General features: G+C 48.2%; 1 protein-coding gene across 9 annotated transcripts in view; it reads right to left on the bottom strand.

Annotated features, from left to right (window-relative positions):
- Window positions 1-1,519, bottom strand: part of MYO18B (myosin XVIIIB) — a 321,660-nt gene extending 320,141 nt beyond the window's left edge. For all 9 annotated transcript variants that reach the window (XM_011530461.3, XM_011530458.3, XM_017029014.2 and 6 more), the window contains exon 1: window positions 1,414-1,519. The gene's annotated coding sequence lies outside the window, so the exon portion shown is untranslated. The remainder of the gene's footprint in view (window positions 1-1,413) is intronic.

Here is a 14,394-nt window from a genome sequence, read left to right as displayed (position 1 = left end):
GAGGCAGGTGACATCAAATATTTGTTGATTGGTAACATGCAGCCCTTCAAAAGCCAGGAGACCAGGAGACTCCCTCTCCTCCTCCTCTTCCTCCTTCTCCTCCCTCCTCCACCCACTTGGCCTTTTCTTTTGGCCTTTTCCTTTGCTATTATTCTTCTCCTCCTTCTTCTCTTTCTCCTCCTGCTTTTTTCCTCCTCCTCCTTCTCTTCTTCTCCTTCTCCTCCTCCTCTTCCTTCTTTTCTCTCTCTCCTCTCCACTATTATTTTCTAGAACTCATCCATAGCCTAAGAGTATATAGACCCCTCTCTTTTCTGCTCCCAAGGTACACACTGGACATGGTACCCAGGCATAGGAGAATACAACTTAGGTCAGCAATGGATACAGCACCCAAGGCCACCATTATCCTTGTTGGAGTCTAGAAGCCCTAGTGGGACACTCAGCCTCCATGAGCTGGTGCACTGAATGAGGCAGCATCTTTTTGGACAGCCACAAAGTGAAAGTAACAGCCTCGTCGTATTCCAGGCCCTACAGGATAGAAGCCCAGATCCCCACACTTGCGGGTTGAGGCCAGACTGGACAGCTTGGAGCCGACTGGGAGCCGACTGGGCTCCCCATTCCGGGCCTCCCCACTCCTGGCCTCCTCCATGGAAAAGCTGCAGGAAGGCAGCAGCCCAGAGGCCTGTAGCTGGTGAGGTCTTCTCCTCTCCTGGGAGAGAGCTCCATGTCAAAGCATAGCCCCCTTCTGCCCCACTATGGGGCCACTGGGACCTGTGAATCTTCTTCATTCAGAGAAATGCCTGCTATCCGGGGTGCCAGATAAGACACCTTCCCTCAGACAGAGCTCAAGGAAGGTGGCATGAAATTGAAACCTTCAGCCATGAACTTCCATTGCCCTTCCCCCAACACTCATACATGCTTAATTTGCAGTTTAAAAAAGAACATTAAAATTAACATTTCGACTCAACAGCGTTGTTAACACGAAAGGGGAAGCCTGGCTCTTCCCCGACCATAACTGAACACCAGTGAAGCAGAAATTACTGGTAGTTGAGGAAAAATATAAACCCTGACGTCTGCGGGCAAAGATTCACAGTGGAGATTAACTCATGATTCTAAACACATTTTTAAAAATTATTAGCGAACAGCTGGGGCCTGAGGAGAGTGATTCTTACGAATGTCCATTTGCCCCAGCATTTTGTTCTCAAATCCTTCCACCGAAACACTCTTGTTTTCAAAGTGAGCAGCACGGGCAACAGGCAAAGGAATCAGGCCTCGGAAGCTCTCAACACCAGAAAGGCCTAAAATAGACCAAAAGACCGGAGGCCTGCCACCGCAGCCCCCAGCAGCGCATTCCGGAAAATTAAAACTCGCCGATCCGCTCGCAAGGTGCCCGTCTAAAACCCAGCCCAATAGTACCTTCTGCAAAGAGGACACAGATCACAGGAACCACGACTGTCTAAGACGTCTCCCCGGGTGGCCGCGAAGGGACCCCACCGAGCCGGGAAAGCAGGAGCGAAGGAGCACCCTCTCCACACACACCGACACACATCCCTTCCCCTTACTGCCCCTCCCCGACCCGTCCTCCCCCCACCCTCCTTCTGGGCCAATGTGATAGCAGCAGCTGAGTCGACCAGTCATTTCTAAAATTAGCTTGTGAGCTCCAGGTCTGGCCAGGAGACGGCAGCCCGGGGTGGCCGTTGACCAGGCAGCAGAGACCATGGACATATTTGGTGGCCCCTGAGCAGGGAAGGGGACAGCTCTGGACACAAGCACATGCTCTCTCGTCATCCCTGTCCCAGGGCAGGGCCACACACCCACACTCCCGCCTCTGCCCACACAGATAACCAGAGGTTGCAGGAACTGTTTGAGGAGGAGAGCTGGCCGGTTCTACATTCCAGGCAGACTCTGGAAGAAAATAACTTGAATGAATGCTGGTGCGTCGTGGTAAACAACCAGTGCATGTAAACATACCTTATGCTTAGGTAGTGGTTATCGCATGCCACACACCGAGGGCTTTCATGAACTCACTTAATGTTCCCTATGAGGTAGGGTTTTTCCCCAGCCCCACTTTACAAGTGGGGAAATTGAGACACAAAAAGTTAACCAACTTGCCCAAGGCCATGGAGAGCCAGAATTCAAACCCAGGCTGTGCGGGCCGTAGAGGAAACAGACACAACAGCAAACTAGGGGCTATAAAAAAGTGCTTTGGGCCTGGCACGGTGGCTCACGTCTGTAATCCCGGCACTTTGGGAAGCCGAGGTGGGCATATCACGAGGTCAGGAGATTGAGACCATCCTGGCTAACACAGTGAAACCCCGTCTCTACTAAAAATACAAAAACAAAATTAGCCGGGCGTGGTGGTGGGCGCCTGTAGTCCCAGCTACAGGCGGAGCTTGCAGTAAGCCGAGATCGCGCCACTGCACTCCAGCCTGGGTGACAGAGAGAGACTCCATCTCAAAAAAAAAAAAAAAAATCAGCTGGGTGGGGTAGTGGTTGTCTGTGATCCCAGCTACTTGGGAGGCTGAGGCAGGAGAATTGCTTGAACCCAGGAGGCGGAGGTTGCAATGAGCTAAGGTCACGCCACTGCACTCTAGCCTAGGCGATAAGAGACTCTATCTCAAAAAAACAACAACAAAAAAAGTGCTTTGTCCACTGCCTAAAAGGAGCAAAGTACAGACTTCAATAAATTGGATAAACCATGCAGGTCCATGCAGCTAGCAAAGGGTAGAGTCATGACTCAAATCCAAGTCTTTCTGGTTCCAAAGACCGCAATCAGCCCAGCATGATACTGCTCCTGTGAGAATTGTTTCAATAATTGCTATGTGGTGCTGCTCCTCTTTCCCCAGAGCTCATCGAGCAATATTTTCCCAAAGTACTCACTTCTGCCGAGGTCTTGAAAATTAGCATTCAATCAGAAGTTCATTGAAACACTAAGGGAAGGCTGCTTAGAAAATGGCAGTCTAGGCCGGGTATGGTGGCTCACACCTGTAATCCCAGCACTTTGGGAGGCTAAGGCGGGTGGATCATTTGAGGTCAGGAGTTTGAGACCAGCCTAGCCAACATGGTGAAACCCCACCTCTACTAAAAATACGAAAATTAGCTGGGCGTGGTGGCGGGCACCTGTAATCCCAGCAACTCGGGAGGCTGAGGCAGGAGAATAGCTGGAACCCAGGAGTCAGAGGTTGCAGTGAGCAGAGATGGCGCCATTGCACTCCAGCCTGGGCGACAAGAGCAAAACTACATTTTGAAAAAAAAAAGAAAAGAAAAGAAAGAAAAAGAAAATACAATATACATAATATACATGAGGTTGAGGAGGGGTCCCTGCGGCCCCCAGTGGAGAGTGGCATGGGACATTTAGGCCACACCAGGGGAAGAGTTTGGAGACAGGTCCCGGTGAGCTGTTTTCTCCAGGTTGTGCTAGATCATTTGACATTGAAACAAGAACCTCCCTTCTCCCGCCCCTTGCATCACAAGTCCTGAACCATTGGCTCCTGGGCTTTTCTGTCCTTGCTGTCTTTCCGACGCTGTTGGTCTGAAGTGGTAGAGTTGACATGCAGAAATGATTCTCTGGGCCCAGGGCTGGGACTCTCTATAGGCCATGACCTGCAGTGATGGTTCCGTTGACTTGAAGGGACCTCCGTTCCCCAAGGAGTCAACATGGCATGTGTTTGCTCCATTCACCTTGTTGGTACCTGTGGTGGGTGGATTTTTGCTACACAAGATGACCAAGTATTACCTTGAGCACACGGTGATTTAGGGCAGCCCTTATAAGCAAGATTTTGTCACCCAGCTGAGCATTTACTGTCCAGTCTCCAGGCTTCATTCCCCAGGCTGGGGGAAAAGACGAGAAGGTGGAGGCTTTCTTATCAAGGCATCCAGAGAACCGGCTGCTTTGGGCTCATCTGATCCAGTTGGCGTGGTGTCATGGAAAGAGTGGATCGTGGTGCTATTCTGTTGGGTGTCAGGACAGTTCAAGTGGCTGTGGGTTTGTCTGGGCAAAGACCAAGGGAATCATCACTTTACATACCTGCTGTGGGGTTGTTGTTCCTTTCCCCTGGAGATTTGGCCTCTCCTTAGGCTAAGGAGTTCTGGATCCACAAAACAGCCAAGGGATTGTGACATTTTATATGGACAATTGACTTCTATCTCTTGATCATCCCTAATTTTTTTTTTTGAGATGAAGTCTTGCTCTAGTCCTCCAGGCTGGAGTGCAATGGCACAATCTCTGCTCACTGCAACCTCTGCCTCCCAGGTTCAAGCGATTCTCCTGCCTCAGCCTCCTCAGTAGCTGGGATTACAGGCACCTGCCACCATGCCTGGCTAATTTTTGTATTTTTAGTAGAGACAGGGTTTCACCACGTTAGCCAGGCTGGTCTCAAACTCCTGACCTCAGGTGATCTGCCCACCTCAGCCTCCCAAAGTGCTGGGATTACAGGCGTGAGCCACTGCACCCGGCCCCTAATTTTTTTCTTTAAATGTTCTTAGAGTCTGGGTCTCACTCTGTCACCCAGGCTGGAATACAGTGGCCTGATCACGGTTCACTGAAGCCTCAAACTCCTTACCTCAAGTGATCCTTCCACCTTGGCCTCTCAAGTAGCTGGGACTGCAGACATACACCACACCACCCAGCTAATTTTTCTAAATTTTTGGTAGAGATGGGGTCTGGCTATGTTGCCCAGGCTGGTCTTGAACTCCTGGCCTCAAGTGATCCTCTCACCTCAGCATCCCAAAGCATTGGGATTACAGGCATGAGCCACCACACCCAGCCCATCCTTAATGTTTTTAATGGTACAAATGGAGTGGACCCTTTTTGGTGGCCCATCTATTCTGCCCTTAGAATGCTACATTCTGTTAATCGTCTCCATACGTCTTGTGAGCTGCTTCCACCTTGCCACTCACTAGGATGAGTGCTGCCACCTGATCTCTATCATTCCGGGGTCCTGTCATCTCCATTGCTATCGGGGAGCCGTGTGGGTATACAAGTCCCCCTTCGTTCGTGGTTTCACTTTACAAGGTTCCAGTTACCTGCAGTCAACCACCATCCAACAATCGGTGAGTATAGTACATTAAGGTGTTAGAGAGAGACAGCACATTCATGTAACTTTTATTATAGTACAGGTATATTGTTATAATTGTTGACTTTATTATTATTTTTATTAATCTCTTACTGTGCCTAATTTATAAATAAAACTTTATCATAGGTATGAATATATAGGATAAAACATAGTGTATAGGGAGGTTCAGTACTATCCACAGTTTCAGACATCCACTGGGAGGCTTGGAAGGTATTCCCTTCATATAAGGGGGAACTACTGTGTGTGTGTGTGTGTAAGAGAGAGAGACAGAGCAGAGACAGAGACAGGCATAGACAGAGAGAGAGAGAGAGAGAAGCTGTCCTGTGTGCCCATGGGTAGGATATGACTGTACAGTGAGCATGGAAGTTTGTGAGTATATGTGCATGGATGTGCATGGATGTGTGTGTTAATAAACTGGAGAACAGGCCTATGCGTGTTCGTATGTACAACAATCATGAAAATCCATCCCTGTGACCACTGCAGGGGCCTCACTTGTGTGCCACCATCCCTGTAGCAATGAAGAGAAACTGTCTCTGTGTCTCTTGAGGCTGGTTTACAGTAAACGCATGGAAACTGGACTGGAGCGAGTGTCTGAAGACCTAGTCCTGCACTGTGCTTTCCCTAGATGTCTGTCTGTCTGTCTACCTGTCTATCCTCCAGCGGTCTCTAGCCTCCTGGTTCATTCCTGGCATTGAGTAGCTGCTCATGGACTCTCTGGTGAACAAAGTAATGAGTGAACAAAGGGCTGCAACTGGGAGTGTGGAGGAGGAAGAGATGCAGAGAAAGTCCCACTGAAGGGGCTGTTACAGTGACTGTTACAGTCCACGAGGCCCATAGTACGTGCTCAGTGGATGTTTGTTGAATGACTGAATGGCTGCGTTTAGGTCTGTAAAAGGCTTTCCTACCACTGGTGCTGTCTGCGGGGGAGAGCCACTACTAAAATTCTTAGCAATGTGGGTGCCCTCTCTCCCAGTGGCCTTCGTGTGTCCTGGGTCCCCAGTGGGTGGTCTGGCCTTATTTAATATATCCCCTCAAGTATGCTGACGTCTCTGAGCTCTTTGATCTCTTCCTTCACCGTCTACTGCAGGAATCCTGCATCTCAACCTCCCTTAGCACAGGCTGAGCTGAATGGGAAGCTCACCAGCACGGCGTTTCAGGTCCCTGACCCAACTGTGTCTTCTGGATCTGCAGCTCTGCTGTCTAGAAAACTATATCAGATACATGGACATCAAGAAAGGGGTGACGCAGGCTGGGCGCGGTGGCTCAGGCCTGTAATCCCAGCACTTTGGGAGGCCAAGGTGGGTGGATCACGAGGTCAGGAGATCAATACCATCCTGGCTAACATGGTGAAAACCCGTCTCTACTAAAAATACAAAAAATTAGCTGGGTGAGGTGGCGGGTGCCAGTAGTCCCAGCTACTTGGGAGGCTGAGGCAGGAGAATGGCATGAACCCAGGAGGCGGAGCTTGCAGTGAGCCGAGATCGCGCCACTGCACTCCAGCCTGGGCGACAGAGCGAGACTCCACCTCAAAAAAAAATAAAAATAAAAATAAAGAAAGAAAAGAAAAGAAAAAAAGAAAGCGGTGATGCAGGTGTCAGAAGAAGCAACAGGAAGGACCAAGTCCCCTCCCGCAATTTTAACTGAAACATCCACTCCTTCGCTTTTGATGCTGGGGCTGGCGTGACTTCAACAGTCAATGTGGTAAGCTCATTTCCTGGAATGGCAATGAATCTGGGCACAGCAACTACAGGGTAGATTCATGTTTTACGTGCTCTCTGAGGAGTTAGAGCCCTGGTCCCTACACCTGGCATCAGCCTTCAACCTCAATCCTATCTGCCACACACCGAGAATCTCCTATCATCTAAACCAGTGGTTCTCAAATGGGGTGGTGCGGCGGTTGGTGGGGGAGAGTAATTTTTGCCCTGAAGGTACCTTTCTTTGGCAATGTCTGAAGACATTTGGGGTTGTGAAGATTTGGAGGGGGGAATGCTACTGGCGTCTAGCAGATAGAGGCTGGGGTGCTGCTACTTATTCCATGATGCAAAGGAAAACCACCTTCTCTCCAACAAAGAACCTGGCCTCAACTGTCAGTGGTGTTGTGGTCAAACCCTCTTGACACAGTTATAACCCCAGGCTCCTGAGGAGGGAGAGGGCATCTTGTCATAGCCCACCAGTACTATCAAGAAGTCTATACCATACACATTGAGGGCAGGATGTGGGAGGAAGTATGTGTGTATTCGTCTGGGGGTCACAGCAGTAAAGACACCCTCAAATTGGTTAATCTGAGCAGAGTTTAATAAAGACAGTATTTGCAGCCGGGCACGGTGGCTCACACCTGTAATCCCAGCACTTTGGGAGGCTGAGGCGAGCAGATCAGGAGGTCAGGAGATCGAGACCATCCTGGCTAACACGGTGAAACCCCGTCTCTACTAAAAATACAAAAAATTAGCCAAGCATGGTGGCGGGCGCCTGTAGTCCCAGCTACTCAGGAGGCTGAGGCAGGAGAACGGCATAAACCTGGGAGGCGGAGCTTGCAGTGAGCTGAGATCGTGCCACTGCACTCCAGCCTGGGCGACAGAGTAAGACTCCATCTCAAAAAAAAAAGACACTATTTGCGTTTAGGAAAACCAACAAGGAGTGTAGAGGCCTCAGGGGCTAGCAGTGGCAGAAAGTCTTTTCCACTTCTTGGCCTGAAGGAAGAAGGAGTATGTGGCCAGGAAAGCTGCAGAGAGGGGCTGCCTGATGAGCTGCGGCTGACAGCTGCAGGAACAGCTGGCTCAAGGTTACTTGGAGGGAGGAGCCTGGGGACTGTGACTGCAATTTCCTTCACCTCTTGCCCTCTGTTATCCTGAGAGGCCTCCTTTTTCTGAACCCCAGCAAAAGTCAGACACTAAGGGAGCCTGCTGTTCTAGTCCACATGGGCAAGACTCCTGGGACAAAACATTTAAGCATATTACATGGGTACCACAAGTCCACTGTGGACAAGCTAAAAGAAAATAAATCCCTTGGCCGGGTACAGTGGCTCACGCCTGTAATCCCCACACTTTGGGAGGCCAAGGTGGGAGGATCACCTGAGGTCGGGAGTTCGAGACCAGCTGACCAAGAGGGCGAAACACCGTCTCTACTAAAAATACATAATTAGATGGGCGTGGTGGTGCATGCCTGTAATCCCAGCTATTTGGGAGGCTGAGGCAGGAGAATCACTTGAACCTGGGAGGCGGAGGTTGCAGTGAGCCGAGATCACGCCAACGCACTCCAGCCTGAGTAACAAAATCAAAACTCCGTCTCAAAAAAAAAAAAAAAAAAAAGAAACAAAGAAAAGAAAAGAAAATTATCTGACTTTAATTTTAAACTCTTGTCTTTCTGAAGTGGAAATTAGTAACCTGCAGTTCCCTGGTTACTGATAACATCGTGCATCTTTTTGGGTTTTTGGGCCACTTTTGGATTCTTTTCTATGAACTGTCACTTTGTGTCTTTGGCCCATTTTTTCACCGGATGAACTGATTTCTTATTGATTGATGGGAGTTGTTTATATGTTATACCTGCTAGTCCTTGCGTCATACATATCCCAAATATCTTCGCTCAGTTACATGGCTTGTCTTTCATTCTGTGTGTCTTTCAGTGAAGAAAAGTTAAATACTTATCCTTCCTTGCATTTTTGGGGAGGAAGGGTTTTCCTTTCTAATTTTCCATTTTTATTTTCTGTTTTGTTTGTTTGTTTATGACAAGATCTCACTCTGTCACCCAGGCTGGAGTGCAGTAGTGCAATCATAGCTCACTGCAGCCTTGAATTCCTGGGCTCATGTGATCCTCCTACCTCAGCCTCCGGAATAGCTGGGACTACAGGCACACACTACCATGCCCAGCTAATTTAAAAAACTTTTTGCAGAGATGAGGTCTCGCGATGTTGCACAGGCTGGTCTAGAACTGCTGGCCTCAAGTGATCCTCCCACCTCAGTCCCCTAAAGCAGTGGGATTGATTATAGGTGTGAGCCGCTGTACCCAGCCTTAATTTTCAACTTTTCTTGATACTAGTTTGGTAGTTATTCACTCTTTCTATTTTTTCAGTGGTTGCCATAGAATGTTTAATACGCATTTTGAACTTCAAGTCCAAAATGTATCCATATTTTACCCAGTTGACATTTTTTAAAGTTAGGCAGCCTGAATCATAATGAATAAGAAAACGCTTCCTCCTTTTTGCAGTTACCTTATTATGACTCATGTTCATTACTGGTTCCCTCTGCCATGTTGATCTTTGGTGAGGGGGCTAAGAGCTTAAACCTCCAATTCTGAAACCTGATGATGAACCTTGGAACTGCCTCCAAGTGCAACGTTCAGAGCAACTCTGAAAGGCAGTAAGAATCAAATACCAGGGACTTGCGTCCGTGACTTCATCTTCCGGGCCTGGTGAAGAATGAGCTCAAGACAATAAGAATCTGAAAGGTGCAACCCCTAGAAACACTAAAGGAAATTTTAAGAGACCAGCTGACAAAGAGGTAATACTAACGGCACCTCTACCAGGTGGAAAGGAATTTTTTTTTTTTTTGAGATGGAGTCTCGCTCTGTGGCCCAGGCTGGAGTGCAGTGGCGCGATCTCGGCTCACTGCAAGCTCCGCCTCCTGGGTTTACCCCATTCTCCTGCCTCAGCCTCCCGAGTAGCTGGGACTACAGGCACCTGCCACCGCGCCGGGCTGATTTTTGTATTTTTAGTAGAGACAGGGTTTCACCATGTTAGCCAGGATGGTCTCGATCTCCTGACCTCATGATCCGCCCGTCTTGGCCTCCCAAAGTGCTGGGATTACAGGCATGAGCCACTGCGCCCGGCCAGAAAGGACACCTTGAATCTGCTTCTCCCTGAAGCAGACAGACTATCCAAAGGCAGCGGCATCAAAAATTCCAAGCGTGGCCGGGCACAGTGGCTCACGCCTGTAATCCCAGCACTTTGAGAGGCTGAGGTTGGCGAATCACTTGAGGTCAGGCGTTCAAGACCAGCCTGGCCAACATGGTGAAACCCTTCCTCTACCAAAAATACTTAAAAAAAATTTAGCCAGGCATGGGTGGCACGCAACTGTAGTCCCAGCTACTTGGGAGGCTGAGGCAGGAGAATCGCTTTAACCTGGGAGATGGAGGCTGCAGTGGGCCGAGATCACACTACTGCACTCCAGCCTGGGTGACAGAGTGAGACTCCATCTCAAAAACCAAAACCAACCAAACAAAAAAACCCAAGCGCAAAGCTAAGTTTGAACCCCTGGCACACCCACACCACATGTGGTTTGAGTTGTGATTGGTGTAAATCTATACATTTAAACACATTTCAGTTACATAGATCTTAAGCGTAGATCTTTCCTTACCTAGTAGCTGCACCTTGACTGACCCACTGGGTAGGTTTTGAGGGCATGAGGAAGGGCGGCACCCCCATTCCCTCCTGCCTTCTGCAGGAAGCACCGGCTTTGCCTATCACTTCTGAAAATGAGAGACAAGAGGTACCCTTCAATGCCTGGGCTGCAGACTTCATGGCATTCCCCAACCTGGTATAGTGAGCTGTAGTTTAAAATATGCTGTGGTGGATCTACAAACAGTTCAAAATATTCATAGAAATAAAAAGTCAATCTGCATTGTGAGAATACTGTATGTTGCACACCGTTCTGAGCGCTTGGTATGTTTCTACTTACAACCTCCTCAGAAAACCTGTAATGGATGTGGGGTGTGTGTTATCATCATGCCCGTTGTATAGATGAAACGGTGCAGGTCCCTGGGGGTTCCTGGGAGCTACTTTTCAGGACACCCTGGGAGCAAGTTGAGGAGCTTGGTATAGCTCCTAGACAAACTGACTCCACTTCCTTCTGCCACATATTACCCCCAGGCAGAGATTGGGTTTATACGCTATCAAATAGGGACTGTGTCTACACCCAGAAGGGTAAATGATAAACCGGGTGTTTTACCCAGACACTATGGTTAAAATATAAAAATGTATTAAATAAAATCCAGTCATTTCGGATATCCATAAGCTATGCAAAATGCTTCCTTGCTGTGCTTCTCTGCCTTCGTTTCCCATTTCCCTTCTCAAATTACAGACCCATTAATATGAGCCTCTAATCTCATTCCAGTTAAAATGGCTTTTATTGGCCCAGTGTGGTGGCTCACGCCTGTAACCCCAGCACTTTGGAAGGCTGAGGCAGGTGGATCACTTGAGGCCAGGAGTTGGAGACCAGCCTGACCAACATGGTGAAACCCTGTCTCTACAAAAAATACAAAAATTAGCAGGACTTGGTGGCAAGTTGTGTGCTTGGTGGCACACAACTGTAATCCCAGCTACTAGGGAGGCTGAGACACAACAATTGCTTGAATGTGGGAGGTGGAGGTTGCAGCGAGTTGAGATTGCGCCACTACACTCCAGCCTGAGCGACAGAGCAAGACTCTGTCTCCAAAGATAAAATAAGAAATAAAATAAAATGCCTTTTATTGAAAAGACAGGCAATAATGAATGCTAGTGAGGATGCAGAGAAAAGAGAATCTTCATATACTGTTGGTAGGAATGTGTATTAGTATAACCAGTATGGAGAACAGTTTGGAGAACAATATAGAAGTGCCTGCAATACTAAAAATAGAACTGCCGTATGATCCAGAATCCCACTGTGAGATATATATCCCGAAGAAAGGATATCAGTATATTGAAGACATTCCATGTTTATTGCGGCACTATTCACAATAGCCAAGGTTTGGAATTAATCTAAGCTTCCACCAACAGATGAATGGATTAAAAAAAAAATGTGGTACATACACAGGGTGGAGTACTATTCAGCCATAAAAAAAGAATGAGACCCTCTCGGCTGGGCGCGGTGGCTCACGCCTGTAATCCCAGCACTTTGGGAGGCCGAGGTGGGCAGATCACGAGGTCAGGAGATCGAGACCATCCTGGCTAACATGGTGAAACCCCGTCTCTACTAAAAATACAAAAAATTAGCCAGGCCTGGTGGTGGGCGCCTGTAGTCCCGGCTACTCAGGAGGCTGAGGCAGGAGAATGGCATGAACCCGGGAAGCAGAGCTTGCAGTGAGCCAAGATCACACCACTGCACTCCAGCCTGGGTGACAGAGCGAGACTCCGTCTCAAAAAAAAAAAAAAAAAAGAATGAGAACCTGTCATTGGCAACAACATGGAAGGAAATGTAAGACATTATGTTGAGTGAAATAAGCCAGGCACAGACAGACAAGCTTTGCTTGTTCACACTCATTTGTGGGAGCTAAAAATTAAAACAATTGATCTCATGGAGAGATAGAGTTGAATGATGGTTACCAGAGGCTAGGAAGGGTAGTATGGGGATGGAGGGCGGGAAGTGGGGATGGTTAGTGGGTGCGAAAACATAGTTTAATAAATAAGATCTAGTATTTGATAGCACCATAAAGTGACTATAGACAACAATAATTTATTGTACATGTTAAAATAACTAAGAGTATAATGGGGATGTTTGTAACACAAAGAAAGGATAAACGTTTGAGGTGATGGATACCCCACTTTCCCTGATGGGATGTTACATATTGAACGCCTGTATCAAACTGTCTTGTGTACCCCTGAATATATACACCTATTATGTACCCACAAAAATTAAACATTAAAAAAACAAAAAAAATGAGCCATTAAATTTCCCTTCATGGATTTCATTAATTATGTGCACGTCCAAAACTGTGTATGTGAGCACAAAGTAAAAGCTGAAGGTTTTATTTGGTGAATCTGATCTCTGGAAATAGCCTGAGTAATTTGGGCTGAGAAACTTTCCTTTTTTTTTTTTAAGACAGGGTCTCACTCGGTTGCCCAGGCTGAAGTGCAGTGGCCCAATCACAGCTCACTGCAGCCTCCACCTCCAGGGCTCAAGCAATCCTCTCGCTTCAGCCTCCCGAGTAGCTAGGACCATAGGCATGTGCCACCATGCTTGGCTAGTTTTTTATAGTTTTGTAGAGACAGGGTCTCGCTATGTTGCTCAGGCTGGTCTCAAACTCCTGGGCTCAAGTGATCGTCCTGCCTCAACCTCCCAAAGCACTGGGATTACAAGCATAAGCCACTGCGCCTGGCCTGAAAAACTCTTTTTTAGAACTCCAATATCCAAACTGGTAAAAGTGCCTAGGGAAAGAAAGCCTTGCAGTTGTTAGATGGCTCTCCTCAAATTCAGTACATAGTTGAGGGGCTCCTGCATCCAGGAACTCACAGTTTAAAGGGGGGACATTAACATCATTACTCATAATGCAAGGTAGGAGGAACCTAGGACTTGGAAGGCATTTCCTTTTTGCAGCCTCAACACGTCACTTACCTCAAGTCAGAGACGGAGGATGTTTTTGGCTTGGATGACCTTTCAGGATCCTCTAATTTGATCCTTGTAACATAGGAGTGAAAAAACTGAGGGCCAAAGAGGTTGTCCAAAGTGATGATGCTGGGAATTGAGATCCTGATGCTATTTCCCCTCCTTCTGGCTCCTGAGGGGGTGACTTGATTTCTGCAGCTCTTGAGAGGGGTTGGAGTGCTTGTTTGAACCCCCATATCCAGCTTCCCTCGGTTACGTAACACATTAGACCAAGGGTTCCATGATGGTTGTCACCTCCTGCCCATGGACCTGGCTACACACTCCATAGCTCGGTCCCCTGTCAACTATTTTGCAAAATGGTTTTCAAATTGGCAAGCACAAATACACCCCAGGGTTACTCAGTGGCTACATGGACCAATCGTGACTTCCTTCTTTCCTGAACTAGCAAGAGAGAGGGTATTCCCCACCCCCGCCAGCTTAAAGACAGGAGATACCCAGCCTGCCCTTGACCCGCGGACCTACAGGAAGACAGTCATGCCCAGGCAGCTGTGGCTTGGGGACTGTCACCTTGGATTTCTGGTTTACAGTGACAGGCACCATGCCGGTAGGGGTGGGAGATGGGGAGCATCTCAGCACATTTCTGTGGGAGCAGGGATAGGGAGCAAGAGGTCTTGTCTTCTGGGAGGGAATCCAAAGCTCCCCCGTAGTGGGCTGGGGAGCATGGAATAGCTTCTAGATGAGCCAGACCTACTGGATTTCCTCACTGCCTAGGCTCTCCAGGCTCTTCATTTGCAACGTGTTATTCTGGGGCACAAGCGCTGGTGTCCCAAACCCTGAAACTGTGAAATTGGCTGTGCTCCAGCGACCCACCAAATCAGCAGAAATGCTTTCGGCAGTCCCCTTCTTCCTCTATTTAAAATCAGCCTCTGCGTGAATTCCCCCCAGAGTCGGGATTCTTTCCAATCAGTCACTTTCTGATATCTTAACAGCTTGGTAAAGAAATGCAGCTTTTAATTGAGGGGAAAGAC

This window comes from Homo sapiens, chromosome 22, assembly GCF_000001405.40.
Source record: "Homo sapiens chromosome 22, GRCh38.p14 Primary Assembly".
Taxonomy (NCBI): Eukaryota; Metazoa; Chordata; class Mammalia; order Primates; family Hominidae; genus Homo; species Homo sapiens.
This window is presented reverse-complemented; position numbering and strand designations above follow the sequence as displayed.